At 37.8% G+C, this 21,635-nt stretch overlaps 1 protein-coding gene and 1 pseudogene across 27 annotated transcripts in view, besides 1 other annotated feature; both read left to right on the top strand.

Annotated features, from left to right (window-relative positions):
• EVI5 (ecotropic viral integration site 5) overlaps positions 1-21,635 on the top strand; it is a 283,715-nt gene that overhangs the window by 196,616 nt on the left and 65,464 nt on the right. The window lies entirely within an intron of this gene.
• Positions 11,177-11,326: a silencer, noted in NCBI's record as "silent region_1076". NCBI's record gives its function as "represses an Ori minimal core promoter by ATAC-STARR-seq in GM12878 lymphoblastoid cells {active_cell/tissue: GM12878}" and the evidence as "EXISTENCE:reporter gene assay evidence [ECO:0000049][PMID:35858748]".
• On the top strand, positions 11,178-20,832 carry LOC107985727 (succinate dehydrogenase assembly factor 3, mitochondrial-like; annotated as a pseudogene).

The following is a 21,635-nucleotide window of genomic DNA, read 5'->3' as shown; positions in this document are numbered from 1 at the left end:
GGGGACAAAATTCAAACTCTGGCCCTCCTTGTAAGATCCTTCCTGCTCGAATTGTTGCCTACTTTTCTAGCTTTATTTCCCAGTTACCCCGACATATATATACCCGGTACTTGAGGCCCAGTATACCAGTTAAGAATCCTTCAAATCTGTCATCTCATTTTCCTCCATGTTTTTCTCCCTCCTCCTTTGATCTTGCTTTTTATTTCAAAAGTCAGCTTTTCTTTTTATTATTATACTTTAAGTTTTAGGGTACGTGTGCACAACGTGCAGGTTTGTTGCATATGTATACGTGTGCCATGCTGGTGTGCTGCACCCATTAACTCGTCATTTAACATTAGGTATATCTCCTAATGCTATCCCTCCAACCTCCCCCCACCCCACAACAGGCCTCGGTGTGTGATGTTCCCCTTCCTGTGTCCGTGTGTTCTCATTGTTCAATTCCCACCTATGAGTGAGAACATGCGGTGTTTGTTTTTTTGTCCTTGTGATAGTTTGCTGAGAATGATGGTTTCCAGCTTCATCCATGTCCCTACAAAGGACATGAACTCATCCTTTTTTATGGCTGCATAGTATTCCATGGTATATATGTGCCACATTTTCTTAATCCAGTCTATCATTGTTGGACATTTGGGTTGGTTCCAAGTCTTTGCTATTGTGAATAGTGCCGCAATAAACATACGTGTGCATGTGTCTTTATAGCAGCATGATTTATAATCCTTTGGGTATATACCCAGTGATGGGATGGCTGGGTCAAATGGTATTTCTAGTTCTAGATCCCTGAGGAATCGCCACACTGACTTCTACAATGGTTGAACTAGTTTACAGTCCCACCAACAGTGTACAAGTGTTCCTATCTCCACATCCTCTCCAGGACCTGTTGTTTCCTGACTTTTTAATGATCACCATTCTAACTGGTGTGAGATGGTATCTCATTGTGGTTTTGATTTGCATTTCTCTGATGGCCAGTGATGATGAGCATTTTTTCATGTGTCTTTTGGCTGCATAAATGTCTTCTTTTGAGAAGTGTCTGTTCATATCCTTCGCCCACTTGTTGATGGGGTTGTTTGTTTTTTTCTTGTAACTTTGTTTGAGTTCATTGTAGATTCTGGATATTAGCCCTTTGTCAGATGAGTAGGTTGCGAAAATTTTCTCCCATTCTGTAGGCTGCCTGTTCACTCTGATGGTAGTTTCTTTTGCTGTGCAGAAGCTCTTTAGTTTAATTAGATCCCATTTGTCAATTTTGGCTTTTGTTGCCATTGCTTTTGGTGTTTTAGACATGAAGTCCTTGCCCATGCCTATGTCCTGAATGGTATTGCCTAGGTTTTCTTCTAGGGTTTTTATGGTTTTAGGTCTAACATGTAAGTCTTTAATCCATCTTGAATTAATTTTTGTATAAGGTGTAATGAGGGGATCCAGTTTCAGCTTTCTACATATGGCTAGCCAGTTTTCCCAGCACCATTTATTAAACAGGGAATCCTTTCCTCATTTCTTGTTTTTGTTAGGTTTGTCAAAGATCAGATAGTCATAGATATGTGGCATTATTTCTGAGGGCTCTGTTCTGTTCCATTAATCTATATCTCTGTTTTGGTACCAGTACCATGCTGTTTTGGTTACTGTAGGCTTGTAGTATAATTTGAAGTCAGGTGGGATGGTGCCTCCAGCTTTTTTCTTTTGGCTTAGGATTGACTTGGCAATGCAGGCTCTTTTTTGGTTCCATATGAACTTTAGTTTTTTCCAGTTCTGTGAAGAAAGTCATTGGTAGCTTGATGGGGATGGCATTGAATCTATAAATTACCTTGGACAGTATGACCATTTTCACGATATTGATTCTTCCTACCCATAAGCATGGAATGTTTTTCCATTTGTTTGTGTCCTCCTTTATTTCATTGAGCAGTGGTTTGTAGTTCTCCTTGAAGAGGTCCTTCACATCCCTTGTAAGCTGGATTCCTAGGTATTTTATTCTCTTTGAAGCAATTGCGAATGGGAGTTCACTGATGATTTGGCTCTCTGTTTGTCTGTTATTGGTGTATAAGAATGCTTGTGATTTTTGTACATTGATTTTGTATCCTGAGACTTTGCTGAAGTTGCTTATCAGCTTAAGGAGATTTTGGGCTGAGACGATGGGGTTTTCTAGATATACAATCATGTCATCTGCAAACAGGGACAATTTGACTTCCTCTTTTCCTAATGGAATACCCTTTATTTCCTTCTCCTGCCTGATTGCCCTGGCCAGAATTTCCAACACTATGTTGAATAGGAGTGGTGAGAGAGGGCATCCTTGTCTTGTGCCGGTTTTCAAAGGGAATGCTTCCAGTTTTTGCCCATTCAATATGATATTGGCTGTGGGTTTGTCATAGATAGCTCTAATTATTTTGAGATACGTCCCATCAATACCTAATTTATTGAGAGTTTTTAGCATGAAGGGTTGTTGAATTTTGTCAGAGGCCTTTTCTGCATCTTATGAGATAATCATGTGATTTTTGTCGTTGGTTCTGTTTATATGCTGGATTACATTTATTGATTTGCTATGTTGAACCAGCCTTGCATCCCAGGGATGAAACCCACTTGATCATGGTAGATAAGCTTTTTGATGTGCTGCTGTATTCAGTTTGCCAGTATTATATTGAGGATATTTGCATCGATGTTCATCAGGGACATTGGTCTATAATTTTCTTTTTTTGTTGTGTCTCTGCCAGGCTTTGGTATCAGGATGATGCTGGCCTCATAAAATGAGTTAGGGAGGATTCCCTCTTTTTCTATTGATTGGAATAGTTTCAGAAGGAAAGGTAACAGCTCCTCATTGTACCTCTGGTAGAATTCGGCTGTGAATCCATCTGGTCCTGGACTTTTTTTGGTTGGTAAGCTATTAATTATTGCCTCAATTTCAGAGCCTGTTATTGGTCTATTCAGAGATTCAACTTCGTCCTGGTTTAGTCTTGGGAGGGTGTATGTGTCGAGGAATTTATCCATTACTTCTAGATTTTCTAGTTTATTTGCATAGAGGTGTTTATAGTATGCTCTGATGGTAGTTTGTATGTATGTGGGATCGGTGGTGATATCCCCTTTATCATTTTGTATTGCATCTATTTGATTCTTCTCTCTTTTCTTCTTTATTAGTCTTGCTAGTGGTCTATTTATTTTGTTGATCTTTTCAAAAAAGCAGCTCCTGGATTCATTGATTTTTTGAAGGGCTTTTAATGTTTCTATTTCCTTCAGTTCTGCTCCGATCTTAGTTATTTCTTGCCTTCTGCTAGTTTTTGAATGTGTTTGGTCTTGCTTCTCTAGTTCTTTTAATTGTGATGTTAGGGTGTCAATTTTAGATCTTCCTGCTTTCTCTTGTGGGCATTTAAGGCTATAAATTTCCCTCTACACACTGCTTGGAATGTGTCCCAGAGATTCTGGTATGTTGTATCTTTGTTCTCATTGGTTTCAAAGAACATCTTTATTTCTGCCTTCATTTCATTATGTACCCAGTAGTCATTCAGGAGCAGGTTGTTCAGTTTCCATGTAGTTGAGCAGTTTTGAGTGAGTTTCTTTTTTTTCTTTTTTTCTGAGACGGAGTCTCGCTCTGTCACCTAGGCCGGAGTGCAGTGGCAAGGTCCTGGCTCACTGCAAGCTCTGCCTCCTGGGTTCACGCCGTTCTCCTGCCTCAGCCTCCCAAGTAGCTGGGACTGCAGGCACCTGCTACCACGCCCGGCTAATTTTTTGTATTTTTAGTAGAGACGGGGTTTCACCATGTTAGCCAGGATGGTCTCAATCTCCTGACCTTGTGAACCGCCCGCCTTGGCCTCCCAAAGTGCTGGGATTACAAGCGTGAGCCACCGCGCCCGGCTTGAGTGAGTTTCTTAATCCTGAGTTCTAGTTTGATTGTACTGTGGTCTGAGAGACAGTTTGTTATACTTTCTGTTGTTTTACGTTTGCTGAGGAGTGCTTTACTTCCAACTATATGGTCAATTTTGGAATAGGTGTGGTGTGGTGCTGAAAAGAATGTATATTCTATTGATTTGGGGTGGAGAGTTCTGTAGATGTCTATTAGGTCCACTTGGTGCAGAGCTGAGTTCAATTCCTGGATATCCTTGTTAACTTTCTGTCTCGATCTGTCTAATGTTGACAGTGGGGTGTTAAAGTCTCCCATTATTATTGTGTGGGAGTCTAAGTCTTTTTGTAGATCTCTGAGGACTTGCTTTATAAATCTGGGTGCGCCTGTATTGGGTGCATATATATTTAGGATGGTTAGGTCTTCTTGTTGAATTGATCCCTTTACCATTATGTAATGGCCTTCTTTGTCTCTTTTGATCTTTGTTGGTTTAAAGTCTGTTTTATTGGAAACTAGGATTGCAACCCCTGCCTTTTTTTGTTTTCCATTTGCTTGGTAGATCTTCCTCCATCCCTTTATTTTGAGCCTATGTGTGTCTCTGCACTTGAGGTGGGTTTCCTGAATACAGCACACTGATGGGTCTTGACTCTATCCAATTTGCCAGTCTGTGTCTTTTAATTGGAGCATTTAGCCCCTTTACATTTAAGGTTAATATTGTTATGTGTGAATTTGATCCTGACATTATGATGTTAGCTGGTTATTTTGCTCGTTAGTTGATGCAGTTTCTTCCTAGCCTTGATGGTCTTTACAATTTGGCATGTTTTTGCAGTGGCTGGTATCAGTTGTTCCTTTCCATGTTTAGTGCTTCCTTCAGGAGCTCTTTTAGGGCAGGCCTGGTGGTGACAAAGTCTCTCAGCATTTGCTTGTCTGTAAAGGATTTTATTTCTCCTTTACTTATGCAGCTTAGTTTGGCTGGATATGAAATTCTGGGTTGAAAATTCTTTTCTTTAAGAATGTTGAATATTGGCCCCCACTCTCTTCTGACTTGTAGAGTTTCTGCTGAGAGATCAGCTGTTAGTCTAATGGGCTTCCCTTTGTGGGTAACCCGACCTTTCTCTCTGGCTGCCCTTAACATTTTTTCCTTCATTTCAACTTTGATGAATCTGACAATTACGTGTCTTGGAGTTGCTCTTCTCGAGGAGTATCTTTGTGGCATTCTCTGTATTTCCTGAATTTGAATGTTGGCCTGCCTTGCTAGATTGGGAAAGTTCTCCTGGATAGTATCCTGCAGAGTGTTTTCCACCTTGGTTCCATTCTCCCCGTCACTTTCAGGTACACCAATTAGACGTAGATTTGGTCTTTTCACATAGTCCCATATTTCTTGGAGACTGTTCATTTCTTTTTATTATTTTTTCTCTAAACTTCTCTTCTCGCTTCATTTCATTCATTTGATATTCCATCGCTGATACCCTTTCTTCCACTTGACCGAATCGGCTACTGAGGCTTGTGCGTTCATCACGTAGTTCTCGTGCCGTGGTTTTCAGCTCCATCAGCTCCTTTAAGCACTTCTCTGCATTGGTTATTCTAGTTAACCATTTGTCCAATCTTTTTTCAAGGTCTTTAACTTCTTTGCCATGGGTTCGAACTTCCTCCTTTAGCTCGGAGTAGTTCGATCGTCTGAAGCCTTCTTCTCTCAACTCGTCAAAGTCATTCTCCGTCCAGCTTTGTTCCATTGCTGGTGAGGAGCTGCGTTCCTTTAGAGGAGGAGAGGCGCTCTGCTTTTTAGAATTTTCAGTTTTTCTGCTCTGTTTTTTCCGCATCTTTGTGGTTTTATCTACGTTTGGTCTTCGATGATGGTGACGTACAGATGGGGTTTTGGTGTGGATGTCCTTTCTGTTTGTTAGTTTTCCTTCTAACAGTCAGGACCGTTAGCTGCAGGTCTGTTGGAGTTTGCTGGAGGTCCACTCCAGACCCTGTTTGCCTGTATATCAGCAGCGGAGGCTGCAGAACAGCGGATATTGGTGAACAGCAAATGTTGCTGCCTGATCGTTCCTCTGGAAGCTTTGTCTCAGAGGGGTACCCGGCCGTGTGAGGTGTCAGTCTGCCCATACGGGGGGGTGCCTCTCAGTTAGGCTACTCAGGGGTCAGGGCCCCACTTGAGGAGGCAGTCTGTCGGTTCTCAGATCTCAAGCTGCGTGCTGGGAGAACCGCTACTCTCTTCAAAGCTGTCAGACAGGGACATTTAAGTCTGCGGAGGTTTCTGCTGCCTTTTGTTTGGCTATGCCCTGCCCCCAGAGGTGGAGTCTACAGAGGCAGGCAGGCCTCCTTGAGCTGCAGTGGGCTCCACCCAGTTGGAGCTTCTCGGCTGTGTTGTTTACCTACTCAAGCCTCGGCAGTGGCAGGCGCCCCTCCCCCAGCCTCGCTGCCGCCTTGCAGTTTGATCTCAGACTGCTGTGCTAGCAATGAGCGAGACTCTGTGGGCGTAGGACCCTCCAAGCCAGGCACAGGATACAATCTCCTGGTGTGCTGTTTGCTAAGACCATTGGAAAAGTGCAGTATTGGGGTGGGAGTGACTTGATTTTCCACGTGCCATCTGTCACCCCTTTCCTTGGCTAGGAAAGGGAATTCCCTGACCCCTTGTGCTTCCCTGGTGAGGTGATGCCTCGTCCTACTTCGGCTCACGCTCGGTGTGCTGCACCCAGTGTCCTGCACCCCTTGTCTGACAATCCCCAGTGAGATGAACGCAGTACCTCAGTTGGAAATGCAGGAATCTTTCATCTTCTGCATCACTCACGCTGGGAGCTGTAGACTGGAGGTGTTCCTATTCGGCCATATTGGCTCCACCCCCAAAAGTCAGCTTAAGCTTGACCAGTTGTGATCAGCATTCCCTGTTAATGCCATCTTACCTGATTTCGTGTATCTCTGCTCTTCTAATACCCTTTGTTAGAGATCTTTCTTATACCATCTCACACTACTGTAGTTAATTCTTTTCAATTTTTCTGTCCACCATGTGCAGCTGAAGTTCATTGAGGGTAAGGACCATTATTTGACTTTATATTTCCAATATCGGCATACTAGCCACAGTCAAAATATGTTTATTTACTGAAATAATTTGTATGTAATAGTTTATTTTTTGAAATATCAATTAGACTTTAAATGTTATTCTAATTTTAAAACCCACATGTGAAGAACAGATTAAGTTTCTAATTTAAATGAAGTATTGGTTTCAATTTTGTAGATATTTATGGGGTACTTACTATGTGCCTGTCACTATTCTAAACACTACCTGGATTAGTGAACAAAATACAAAAATCCCTTTCCTCATTGAGCTTTATGGTAGAATGAGAAGTTAGATGAAAAAAATAAATCTTATGGTGTGAAATTTAGACAGTGGAAGACAACGGAGAAAAATGTGAGAATGAGAAGATATTGGTATTAGGGATGGAGGACTGTTGCTATTTTCACAATGTGGTTTATAAAGGTTCATTAGAAGGGGATATTTATTTAAACAAACATTTGAATCAGATGAGGCATGAAGATTTGGGGGAAGAACTACTTACTAGGAGAATAGTACAGGCAAAGGGCCTGACATAAGGAGCAAGTCTGAAGTAGAGTCTGGGTGGAGTGAGACATGGGAATTAGAGGAAGTCTGAGAGGTAAATAGAGCCAATTATGTAGGACCTAAAACTTTGACCTTTCCCGACTCAGATGGAAAATCATTGGAGGGTTTTGAGCATGGGAGTGATCAGTTAGATGACATTTAAGCTGTTAAAAAGATTTAATTGAACTGATTCAAAAAATACTTGTAAGAATTCATGGTATTTAGTTTGGAGGGAAATGAGGTTAAAAAATTAAGTTTCCTCTTATTACTGGAGTTTTCCACCATCTAAATGCTATTTATTATTTGAAGACTTTATTTTTACATTAATACTAAATGGAGCTATCTCTAAATTCCATGGAGTAGAACAAAACATAGAAAAGTCAATTTTTTCCTCAGTTAGTTAAGGAAAATAGGTGAGAATTAAACCCAAGCCTTCTAGTATTTAACCTGGGATTGAGTTTGTATTTTGGTTATTATAAAGATAAGCATATTGATTTTTGTAACTATGTTAAAAGCTTCTGTGGGCTAAGCACATCTATAAAATTAACGCCACTTTGTTACAAGTAATGGAAAGTTTTTCATTTAAAAGAGTGTAGGTCTACTCAAATCCAACTTTTGGTTTTTTTCCTGGTACCCAGTAACATTTACCCATTTTGATTAGTTTGCCCAACAGATAACCTCTAGGGATGCCTCAGATGGGCAATACCCCAACCACTCTTGGCTTAAAAACGCCCACTCAAAATTCTGTTCTGACATAGAATGAGGGTGCTAGGTTTAAATCACTGTGCTCAGATCAGTATGTAGTTTTGACAGAGATGGAGAGGAAGTGATAAAACCTTTACCATTAACTTAAAAATATTATATTTTTTAATTATGTGAAATTACCATGACATTACTAAATGATGGAATTTATCATAAAGCTTTGTGATTAGTTTGTACTTTCCAGTTTCCTGAGCTAACTTGTTAATAGTTTTTTTTTTTTTTTTTTGCCCCTGAAGCACAATCGTTTATGGCTTTCGTTTTGAGCAATTTACCTAAATATTAAAATATTTTTCATTTTTCTTTAAGGCATTTCTCAATTTTAAGCATTTTTAATTTGAAAAAATATCTTCTGTAATTGTATCTTGTCTTAATATTAATTGTCAGGAAAATACGTACATAGACTGCTTTACCTAGCTTGCTATCTAGTCATTAGGGATTGCGAGATTCTGTTTAAAAACTTTTTTCTGAAGTGTTCAGAGATTCTTTCGTGTCCAACTTCAGTACACAGTTAAATTTAAAGGGATGAAGTATCTAGAGGTTTTTAGGATATTGCTATATCTAGAATTGAAGAACATCATTTGGATCCCCCAAGATGAGCTCATAGTAAGATCTCAGTTAAGAATTAGGGGAGTTTGGACTCTTAAGTACCATAATATATATGCTCACTTGGTGTTATTAAAAATTAGTTTATGTACACTTAGTGCCCAGATTTTGGTTTTTAATACCATTCTCCAGTGAAGGGGACCAGGGCTTCTCACAGAAATGGCTGATTCTGTGCAGCACACCAGCATGGCACATGTATACATATGTAGCTAACCTGCACATTGTGCACATGTACCCTAAAACTTAAAGTATAATAATAATAAAATTAAAAAAAAAAAGAAATGGCTGATTCTAGGACGGGGACAGGAAATATAGAAGATAAGCCTGGAGCACCTTATAATGCCAATAAGTAAGGAAGTACTCAAAATGCACACACACACACACACACACACACACACACACACAGCCAAAAAAAAAAAAAAACCTACATTAATTGGAGTGTGTTGAAGGGACAGAGGAGCCAACTGAAAGAGTTCCCAATGACCAAAGGTAGAACAATTTGAGAAAAAAAAAATTTTGAAGTATTACATACTTGAAATACACAAGCCAAAGTATAATAACCCAAAGTAGATTATAACCCAAAGTATAAAATAAATATCCATGAGCCTATATTGATTTAAATGATGATTAAATTAATAAATGTGAGTTAAGAGACAAATATGCAGAAGAATTCTAAATAATTTTTGTAGATACTCCACCCTCAAGGAGGGGAAGTATAAATCTCCACTCCATAAGCATGGGCTGCACTTAGCAACTTCCCTCCAAAGGAAAAGTATGGGGGACAAAAAGAGTAACTTTACAGTGGAGAAACCTGACAAAGATTACCTAAGCCAGGTGATTAAGATTACCATCAACAGTCATAAATTACACTGATAGTACATACCCTTGATATCATGTGACATGATGAAAATGGCACTTTACCTCTCTGGTATTCCTCTTGATAACCCATAACCCTAGTCTTACCATGAGAAAACTATCAGACAGATTCCCCTTGTGGAGATCTTACAAAATACCTGAATAGTAATGACTCAAGGCTGACAAGATCATCAAAAACAAGCAAAGTCTAAGAAGCTGTCACAGCCAAAAGGAACCTAAGGAGACATTACAACTAAATGTAATGTGTCTTGGATAGAATTCTAGAAACAGGAAAAAAAAAAAACAGGTTAAAAAACAAAGGCAAAGGAAATCTGAATAAACTAAGGACTTTAGTAGTAATGTATCAATATTGGTTCATTAATTGTAACAAAGGTACCACACTAATATATTAATAATAGGGGAAACTGTGGGAGGGTATGTGGGAACTCTCTATCTTCTCAATTTTTCTGTAAATTTAAAACTTTTCTAAAAAGTATCTAATTTTTTTTAAAACTAGTTTGTGAGTCCATAGTTTTTAGGAGCCATTGGAATTATATCAAATTTTAAGTATTGGTCACAAAATTGATTTGTTTCCAATTAAATTATGATTTATGAGGAATATTTTCTACCTTTTAGACCTTGTGTGAATGCTGACTTGTTTTAAGAGAGGGAGAGTGTCTTGCTCTGTTGCCCAGGACAGAGTTCAGTGGTGCAATCACAGCGTACTACAGCTTTGAACTCCTGGGATCAAGCAGTTCTACCTAAGCCTCCCTAGTAGCTAGCAATACAGGCACACCCCACCATGCCCTGCTAATTTTTAAATTTTTTGTACAGATGGGGTCTTGCTATGTTGCTCAGGCTGATCTTGAGCTTCTGGCCTCAAATAATCCTGACTCAGCCCTGCAAAGCACTGGGCTGATTTTTTTTTTTTTTTGAGATGGAGTCTCACTCTGTCTCTTAGGCTAGAGTGCAATGGTGCAATCTCGGCTCACTGCAACCTCAGCCTTCTGGTTCAAGCAATTCTCCTGCCTCAGCCTCCTGAGTAGCTGGGATTACAGGTGACTGCTACCACACCTGGCTAATTTTTAAATTTTCAATAGAGATGGGGTTTCACCACGTTGGCCAAACTGGTCTCGAACACCTGACCTCAGGTGATCTGCTCACCTCGGCCTCCCAAAGTGCTGAGATTATGGGTGTGAGCCACCACACCCGGCCTTGGGCTGGTATTTTTAAACTGTGCCTTTAGCTAGTCCTGTGTATATGTATATTTCTCTTCTGAAATGGAATTAAATCAGTCTTAATACTGAAAAATACTAGCCAAATATTTGATTTCTTTTATCCCTTATATATTTTTCAGATTTCATTATTGGTTTTTAAAAGACATTTATGTGTACTTTTACTTTTTCTAATTACTAAGAAGAATATTCAAACCTTTGTCCATGACTTTAAATTACAGGAAACTGTTTCAAAAACTTATCAGTAGTACATGATATGAGTATGATTTGTTTTTAGAAGTTTCAAATGAGTCACCTTGAAGTCATGGAGAGGCTACCGCTTACCACATTTACCATTCTGATTAATTTTTCTTTTGGCAAAGTACAAATCAGTAATAACCTACTAAAGCCTAGTGGTTGCTATTGATATTTCAGTAAGGTGATGTTGATTAATCAGAGTGATTACTTACCAAGTGTTACAGATTTACTCAAATTATTGGGTTTTCTTCTACTATAGTAATTTCATATGCAGTAATAATTTGCTTAAGACATTTTGCTTCATATGTGCGTTGAAAATATCAATGTAGAACTTAAAATTTGTATCCATGCTGCAAGTTAATGTGGTTGCCTCTGTGACCGTTGAACATAGTTTCATAATAAAGCCTGGAAAAAAAAAAGCATTATTTAACCTTTTAAACAATCAAGAGATTGCTTTTTAAATTGTCTCTAAAAAGGTTTGATTTTTTACGAAAGAGAGAGCACTTGAATATATCTTTATGTACCACCGTGTCTCTTTTTGTTAGATTTTTCATCTGTGGGTATAATATAAAATATTCTTAAAATGAAAGCTTTACGCTTGTGTTTGAGACTAAGCAACTTGCATTGTGTCATGACCCTTCTAATACCACAAACCTTCTGTAATACTACTCCCGGAGAAAAACCCACATCCTATGCATAACCTTAGATTTATTTTGAAATCTCTATGAAAAAGAACAGAGAGAGATTACTAATTGTTTCTGTTACTTCCTTTAGAGGTATGATACCTATTTGTAACCCATGTTGTAAATGTTAATAGCCAGGAGTAAAATGTTAAAATATATTAAGTAGTGGTTTCCTATCCTAAAGTTAATATGTGAAAATTTAATAACTAATTATAAGTTTCAGTTTGTTATATTAGATATCTGGAAAGAATGTAAAAAAAAAAAAAAAGAGAGAGAGAGAGAAGGCATTGGTACTTCCAGTAGCTTATACTTCTAATACCATTGGCCAGTACAATACTAGAAAATAATTGCAAATTTAAATAAGCCATCTTTTTAAAAATTTTATTCCTATTCTGATTTTTTCCTTCTATTTTAGATTTCTTTGTATTCTTTATGTAACTGATGAAGGTGGATGAAAAATCTAATTTTTTTTTTTTTTTTTTTTTTTTTTTGAGACAGAGCCTCACTCTGTCGCCCAGGCTGGAGCACAGTAGCGTGATCTCGGCTTACCGCAACCTCCGCCTCCCAGGTTCAAGCGATTCTCCTGCCTCAGCCTCTCAAGTAGCTGGGATTACAGGCACGTGCCACCATGCCCAGCTAATTTTTTGTATTTTTAGTAGAGATGGAGTTTCACCATGTTGGCCAGGCTGGTCTCAAAACTTCTGACCTCAAGTGATCCACCCACCTCAGCCTCCCAGAGTGCTGGGATTACAGGCATGAGCCACCGCGCCTGACCCCAAGGTTATTTTTAATATTTAGAAAAAATAGTAACTACCCATCAGTAGGAGAATGGTTACACTATAGTATATTTATACTCTGGAATATTCTGCGTCTTTCAGAAAGAATAAAGATCTACAAGACATACTAGGTGAAAAAAGCAAATTATAAGCAGAATATATATTCCCATTTGTATGTATTAAAAAGCATTTGTGAGTATATGTATTGTATTTATATATATTAAGTACATGTGCATGTTAATATGTATATATGTTACATGCATATGTACTTAAATGCATTGAAATTGGCTGCAGTGATCCTGTCAAAACTGTTGAAATATTCCTTCAGGAGATAGTAAAGGGCTTGGTGCAAAAGAGTAGAGGATATGAGTTCACTTTTTATTCTTTATGAATTTATATGATTATCATTATAATATTTTATGTATATTTAAATGACATTTAAAGTAACTGTTGCTAGAAAGGAAATAAGAACTAGAACTTCCAGATAATTATAGGGAAAAAGTAACAAAGGAAACTTGGGCTACCAAGCAAAAGGGCCACCTTTTTTTCTGGCCTTAAAGTCCCTGAGTGTTGTCTGGCTCCTGCCCATTTCTCTGACCCATTTTAAATGGCATTCTCCTTCACCAGTTAGTTCTAGCAACTACTCACCTCCTTTTTTTTTCTTGAATCAAGCTCTTTCATTCCTACATTAAGGCTTTTGCTTGTGCTCTTTTTTATGATTGCAATTCTGTGCTCCCTAATCTTCCCATGACTGATACCTTCTCATCATTTAAATCTCAGCCTAGATATAAGTCACTGCCTGACCACCTTTGTAAAGTAGGCCCCTCACATTGTTACTGTGTCTCATTATCATGTCTTATATTCTTTATGGCTCTTGTCAGTGCCTGAAATTATTTTTACTTTAAAAATTAACTCTCACACCCCATGATGTTTCAGTCAACGATGGACCACATATATCATCTGGGTCCCATAAGATTATGAGACAGTATGTGTTCTGTACCTTTTCTATGTTTAAATATTTAGACACACAAATACTTAACCACTGTGTTACAGTTGCCTACAGTATTCCATACGGTAACATGCTGTACATATTTGTAGCCCAGGAACAGTAGGCTATACTGTATAGTCTAAATGTATAGTGGGCACTACCATTTAAGTTTGTGTAAATACACCCTACGGTGTTCACACAACGATGAAATCCCCTAACAACACATTTCTCAGAATGTATCCCCATTGTTAAGCGAGTCGTGACTACATTAGAACCTTGTTTGTCTTATTTACTGCTGTATGCCTGGTGCCTGGCATATCACAGGTGCTCAACAAATAGTTGCTGAATGAATTTTAGGAGGGAGAAAATAGTCATGTATTGACCTTCTATGCCATAAGAGCAGGTAGCAGGTTTTAAGTACTTTCTGTGTAAAGATTCCTTTACATACTTTATTTAAATAAATGTTGCACCAAAGATGGCTTGAAACTCCCAGAATTACCTACCCCAACTATCTAACAAAATAGTAAATAGTTTTTTTTTTTTTAAGCAAAAACTTGCCCAATAAACCTGAGAGGAAAAGGAACATAACCTAATGCAATAAACTTTAAAAAGTGACAGCTAACAAAAGAAGCAGACAGTGGTAGAGCAGAGAGGCCTGCCAGGGCTTGGCTTCTAACCTTGACTATCTATCCCATTTCCAGGCTGTGTAAGTCAGCAAAATCCCAGGAGAATTCATTTATATCTCACATGTGGAGAGAAGGAAAATGAGTATGTAATCTTCTGACTGAGGAGTGGTAGAAACTTCTGCAAAGGATAACCAAGTGAAAGAGATCAGAAAAGTGACACCTCACTCTTAAGTGAAGGCCCTAGGGCAACACACTGAATATGGGAAATGATCTGAATCCTAAAACTCAGGTTTTGTGATATATTCCCCCAACTAGGTAGTACAAGATATTTAACAAAATCTCAGAAGAGTAAGAAGAGCCCTTGTTTAGCTAGGTTTTTTCTTTCACTGTGCATTTTCCTGAGACTATAGAAAAGTGAGAACAAGCTTGAGCTTGGAAGGCAAAGGAAATAGATCTCAAATATGGTGGAGAGATAGTTAGTGTCATCCATATCATTAGCGTACTTGGAATATGTGGACAATCACCTAGCCATGAACATGGTGAAAAGAAATAGCACAACAATTTAGTTTATATTATTTATTAATTATTATTGATTATTATTTAGCAGAAAGAAATACCATTCACAAAACCAAAAATCCCAACCAAGAAGAAAGGTAATTCAAGGATAAGAAGAATTACAGTTGCTTCACACTGTAAAACAACTTAACATTAATTCAATAAAATTAACAGATTGAAAGATAAGATAGCCCTTTGAACAAGTGGCTGGTAGTCCACCCACAGAGTGCTGTGTCCAGGCCTTGTATAGACATATCTTGCAGCTGCACCTGGTTCTGCCCCCAGACATCAAAGCCCTGGGCAACCAGTGCATGAAGGACTAATTTAGGAGACATAAGACTGTTGGTTCTGACAAGGCTCAGTGTATTTGCAGGAATGGAAGGTGTATGCAGCAATGTTATGGCAAGCAAGATAAAACACAAAATTCAACTGAAAAAGCATGTTTTGGCACCTCCCTCTCAGAAGAAAAACCTAATGACTTTGGTGATGAACGAATTGGATACTTACAAGAGGTGATACAAGAAACTACTAAATACAATAAGCAACTTAGTAATACTGAGCCTACAAAACCAAAATTTTAGTCTGTACAATAAAGCTTAACAAAATATGTAAAATTGAGAACCCCTTACTTTAACTATCATTGATTGGTTTTTAAAATTTATTACTTAAGCTTTGAAGCTTTTAGAATGCCTAGTGTTAATTAAATATTCTTTTATTTTTGGTTGTTATGAATGCAATATATGAATCAGGATCACTAGCAGACAATTGCAAAAGATTACAACATTATTGGAATAGCAGTCCTTGCTGGGTGGAATTTGATTTTTGGATTAAACAGGAAAGAATGACTCTAAAATGGACAAACTTCTAGAATTTTGCTGAAAAAAATGTTTACATATAAATTAATTTTAAATGCCATTCTTGTTCAAGCATTAGCCTCATGGGTTTTCTTTAGCTTGATCAGATAAGTGTATAGCGATAATGATAGATACAAAATTCCAACAAAAATACATTGTCATTCTGAAGGTTTCATTGTTTCTACTTTAATAATACATATATGATTATTATTCTAAATGTTCCTTCTCCCTGAGTCATTGTTTATTCACAATGAAAGGTTAAAGAGAAGCTTGAAGATTCAGTATTATCATTTGTAAAATAGATAGTACAAACTATAATACATTTCTACTTTGTTTATTAATCACAAGCGACCGTTTAAGTTAAATAATTTAGGTTGGGCACGGGGGCTCACACCTGTAATCTCAGCACTTTGGGAGGCCAAGACGGGTGGATCACTTGAACCCAGGAGTTTGAGAGCTCATATCTTTCTTTTGTTTTTTAGTTAAAACTATTTTTTCTAGTTTTTTCCCCTCAAACATTTAGATCTTTCTATACAAAAGGTGAACTCCCATTTATAAGCTAAAAGTAATAAATAGTAATGGAGAAATGTATACAGAGGGGAAAAATGGCTATTAATAACTGTATTAGTCACAGTAAAACCAAACCATCACATTAAAATTGCTGAAAAAGGAAATTAATTTTATAGTATATTATTTCCGTGAAATATATAAAATACCATTGATATTTTTTATAGGCTGTCTTTGATTTATCTTTGTTTTATTTTTTGTACCTTGGTCTCCCTTGACTTCATATGAGAAGGGATTCGTAAGTAATTATAATCTGGTTTTCCACACTGGCCTCCTTCCATTGGCTCTCTTATTAAATTTGAATACACTAATAGTCTGATCAGTTGATTTAAATATTTTTTGGCAAAATAAACTCTTCATAGGCCATTCAGACAGACTAGGGAAGGGAATGGTTTATTAATAAGATGAATATTTAGGAGCCATCTGATCATCCAATGCTACAGAAGATACACGAGAAACTTTGACAGCTTTGCTTCCCAACTTTGACTTGATATCACTCTTTACAGAGGGCTCAAGAAAAGATACATGAATAACATAAAATAAGTACTGCATTTTTAGAAAAACAATTCTAGCACATGTCCTGCTATGATCTGTCTCAAATCAAAATCCTGATTTTAGGTTTAGGCTGGGTATGATGACTCACACCTGTAATACCAGCACTTTGCGAGACTGAGGCAGGAGGATCACTTGAGCCCAAGAGTTTGAGACCAACCTGGGCAATGTAGCAAGACTTGGTCTCTATTTAAAAACAAACAAACAAAACCATGGTTTATATTGGAGCCATTTATAATGATATAAAGAGAATGGGACTAAGAGTGAAACCTGGCTTCTACTCCTTGCTTTTTCCTGGCTAGTCATGTGGTCCTTGATAAGTTACTTAACCACTGAGTCCATTTTCTTTTCTTTTTTTTTTTTTTTTAGACAGAGTCTTGCTCTGTCTCCCAGGCTGGAGTGCAGTGGCGCGATCTCAGCTCACTGGAAGCTCTGCCTTCCGGGTTCACGCCATTCTCCTGCCTCAGCCTCCCGAGTAGCTGGGACTACAGGCACCCGCCACCACGCCCAGCTAATTTTTTGTATTTTGTTTAGTAGATACGGGGTTTCACCGTGTTAGCCAGGATGGTCTCGATCTCCTGACCTCGTAATCCGCCCGCCTCAGCCTCCCATAGTGCTGAGATTACAGGCGCCCGGCCGTCCATTTTAAATCTCTAGTGCTTTTGGGGCCAGGCCCAGGCTATGTTCAGTTCAAGCCACCTATGAGGATACACACAGGTAAAGAGGCCATGCCAAAAAAAAGAGGATTTAGTATTAATTTTTCATTCCAGAATTTCTCCACACTTTAGTTTTGCTAAAAGAAAGAAATGGTGACAAGAATCCACCATATGGGGGTAATAGTTCTAGACCATAATAGTCATCAAGCTGGGAGAAGAGCATCTAGAGAAATAACAATGTGGATTAGTAGAATGACAGAAAGATGAAATAGCGTTCACATGGATCCAGAAAGGGCTTTTCAAACTAATTCTTTAAAAGTCATGGTATGCAGTGCACCACCACCCAAAAGACTTGTCAGAATCTTAACTTAATCTAGCATGACAGTGTTTATCACTAGTAAATGAAATATAGCACCATAGCGCCTTTCCTTACAGGGAAAAGACAAAAGCTACCTTGCACTAAACAAAAGCATCTGTTTAGAGTTTATGGTATCCAAAACAAACAAAAAAACAACAACAAAGCCAGAAAGCAAAAATGGGTCTAAAACTTTCACTGAGATAATCCCATGCCGTGGAATATGAAGATATTAAAATATCTGTCTAGAAGATGAATCACATTTTCTTCAGCTACAGAATTTTCCAGCTGTGTGAGCAATGTCTCATGAGCAAAATGAAGCTTAATGAGTGGATATTTGATGCTTTCCTTTTATGGCAGATCCTCCCTTTGTTAGAGGTTTCTTTGTGACTAACCCTATGCTTTCCCAGAATTTAAAGTCATCCACCTACTCTATAAAATATTTTTTGCAAAGAGACAAATGATAGAACAGGCTGAAAGGCTTTGTTGTGTATTTAAAGTGATCCCAACAGTTTGAAGAAGGCATCTTAGGAACCGGCTTTGGTTCAGATGAAAACTTATGAAGCATTCACTAACCAGCTTTCCTCAAGACAGCCTGCTGGCCCGCCCTACTGATGCTACCCTGCAGCATCAAGTCTGACCTGGATTTCCTGGACTTCTGCCCTGCCGGCAAGCCGTACAAAAACTTCCAGGCTGCCAGTCCCTACAAGTGGTGTGAGCTAATCCCTTAAATTTATATTTCAAATCAGACCAGCATATTCTGAAGTGAAAATTAAGGGAGGAGGAGAAATGGGCAGGATCCTGGGGAAGATGAGCAAGCCTAAGTCTGCCTATGCCTGACAGAACAGGAGAAGCTTCATGGGGTGAAAAGGGAAGCCTTTGTTCCTTAAAGGGAATTATATTGGGGCCCTTCTGCTGAACTGGTAGACTAACATGTATAGAGGCTGATTTGGACTTGGCAAGAGTATGGCCTAGAGTTCTCTCACCCTGTTATAGAGATAATGCCATTTTCTCAGTATATTCTGAAGTCTTAAGTATCTTACAAGGTTTTTTTCATGTCCTTTTGTGGCACTCAGCACTTATTTTCATGCTTTGGACATTACTGGCAATCCTAGCCCCAAAGCTACAAAGGGAATTCCAGGTTTCTGACAAGTTTTAAATGCTCCCCATGTTATTCCAGTGAATATTCCAGTGGTTATCATTGAACTACCAAAGATGACAATGAAAATGTAAGATTGACAAGAGGCTCAGCCATTAAGAGTTGTATCAAAGGGCTCAGATTCTTATTTTTAACTGGGAGAATACATATCACTCTTGTATTTGCCCAGCGATATAGACAGAACTAGGAACCAGAATCAGTGGGCTAGCAGTCTGTCAGATGTCTTAAACTACAGGTAAATTTGTATGTAAAAATCAGCCATTCAAAAGCCACTTCTGTACCAGACATTCTAGTAGGAATGCTGCTCTAAAAATTATTCAGTTACTTGCCTACCAGTATTTTGTATTTGACCTTTTTACTCTACCCCTGTTAGCTATCTCTCTTGATACATTTTATCAATATTCTTCTTAATAATTTTACTTATATTTTAGTAAAAATTTAAAAATAAAGTCATGTTAAATATGGAGAGAATTCTTTGGACTTCATAGCACTGAAAGGTTAAATCTATAGGTTAGTCTCTTAATAAGAGGCAAAAAATTTAAAAATTATAACTACCAATACTTGTGTTTAACATAAGGCAAAAAAATTTAAAAATTGTAACTGCCAATATTATGTTTAACTTTTAATGTACATATACAAAATATGTATGTTAACTAATATACATATGTACACATGACATACATATGTGTAGGACATGTATACATAATATCATACATATGACTCTAAGGTAGAATACATGTCATACATATTTACCAGTGTCTTTTAGCACTGTTCCTATGTTTTCTGAGTCCTTCACTTCAGATATTTAAGTTTTAGTGCCCATGTCTTCTATACTTAATCCTTTGATTTACCCAACCCTTAAATATGCATTGTATTAGTTTACTCTGCTGCCTATTTGGTTTGGGAACAAGGAATAAAAACAGTATTTTATTTGGAATAATGTTGGAATGGAAAATGTTTCTGTTTCAGCTTAGATAATATACAATCTACAGACTTGGACTCTTCCAAAAAATTAACAATATGATAAAAATTCTAAAATGCATAAGGTCAGGCAAGGTGGCTGGGATTATGCCTGTAATCCCAGCACTTTGGGAGGCTGAAGTGAGTGGATCACTTGAGGTCAGGAATTTGAGACCAGCCCGGCCAACATGGTGAAACCCTGTCTCTGCTAAAAATACAAAAATTAACCAAGTGTGCTGGTGCATGCCTGTACTTCCAGCTACTCGGGAGGCATGAGAATCGCTTGAACCCAGGAAGCAGAGATTGCAGTTAACCAGGATCATGCCACTGCACTCTAGACTATGCAACAGGGTGAGACTCTGTCTCAGAAAAAAAAAAAAAAAAAAAAAAAAAAGGCACAGGGACTCTTGTAGATTAAAAGAGGCTAAAGGGATATAATAACAAAATGTAACCATGAACCTTGGTTTGATTATGGGCAGTTATAAAATATTTTGAGTCATTTTGGGGAAATCTGAAAAAAAACTATCTTCAGTGATATTATGGACTTACTGTAAATTTAAGTGTTATGATGACATTTGGTTACATAGGGCAGTTCTTTATTCTTAGAGGATGCATGATGAAATATACGGTAGTAAAATGTCATGACACCTGCAATTTACATTCCAGTGGTTCAGGAAAAAAATCTGTGTGTGTGCACACATATGTACACATAGAGAGCAAAAGAACGAAAGCCCACGTAGCAAAATGGTAATTGGTGAATATAGCTGAAGGGTATATGGGTGTCATTGTACTATTATTTCTGCTCTTCTATAGATTTGAAAAGTTTGAAAACTAGGGGAAAATTTTGTAAGTTGTAAAATAATGGACTCGATGCTTTTATATTTGCCTCCTAGTCTGGGGCACTTTCTACTACTTCAGTTATGCATCTGATACACTAACTAGGTGTTAACTGATTAAATGCTCAAAAAATAAAATCACAACTTGTAAGCAACCTGTCCAATTGTGTAGTGTATTTTAAAACCTATGGCTCGAAACATAGCTTTTAAAATCTGCTGTCTTCCTACCTAAGAAAGTTTCCAAGATAGGGTAAGTTATAACCAATGTTAAAAACACAGATTTTTAAAAATTCATTTTTAGGACCTTATAAATTATGTATAGATTTATTTATAAACAGTTTATTGTATGTTTTAAAATGTTCCCCCACTCTGTTTATAGAAAAACAAGCACAAACAGATTAAAAAACAAGAATGGACTCTTAAGGATACCCTTTACAACTTCTCTTTAAAAATGAGCCTGACTAAATGTATGGATTTAAACATGCTTGAGATCCACTTCTTTTCTTTCTCTTACCTCCCCAGTGTTTTTCAATATTATACACTACTAAACCCCACCTTTATCCCAAACACTTGCTCAAAGCAACTTGACATTCTATTCGTCTCAGTTTTGCTGCACTATAACATGTTAAAACCATGCTACTTAGAACTGTAGAGAAAACCTTTCTCATTTTCTCTTCAATCTCTTAGGTTGATGCACCATCACATTTAATTGTTCAACTTTTTAAGTGGTATGTTGTAGTGCAGCTGATACAGGTGAAGACACCTCTGAATAAAATGCCCACTTTCTACTGTGGCCATATACACATTGCACAAATACATATTCACTTTTTATTTTCCTGTGGATTGCAGCATTTACTGATTTTTCAACAAACAGAATATGTGACACATCCTGGGCACATTCCATCTTGTCTTCATCCTTTCTCTAATTACAGCTCTCCATGATTGCAGGGATAAAACA

The sequence above is a fragment of the Homo sapiens genome, chromosome 1, assembly GCF_000001405.40.
Source record: "Homo sapiens chromosome 1, GRCh38.p14 Primary Assembly".
Taxonomy (NCBI): Eukaryota; Metazoa; Chordata; class Mammalia; order Primates; family Hominidae; genus Homo; species Homo sapiens.
Note: the sequence above shows the minus strand (reverse complement) of the source record. Positions and strands in the feature narration are given on the sequence as shown.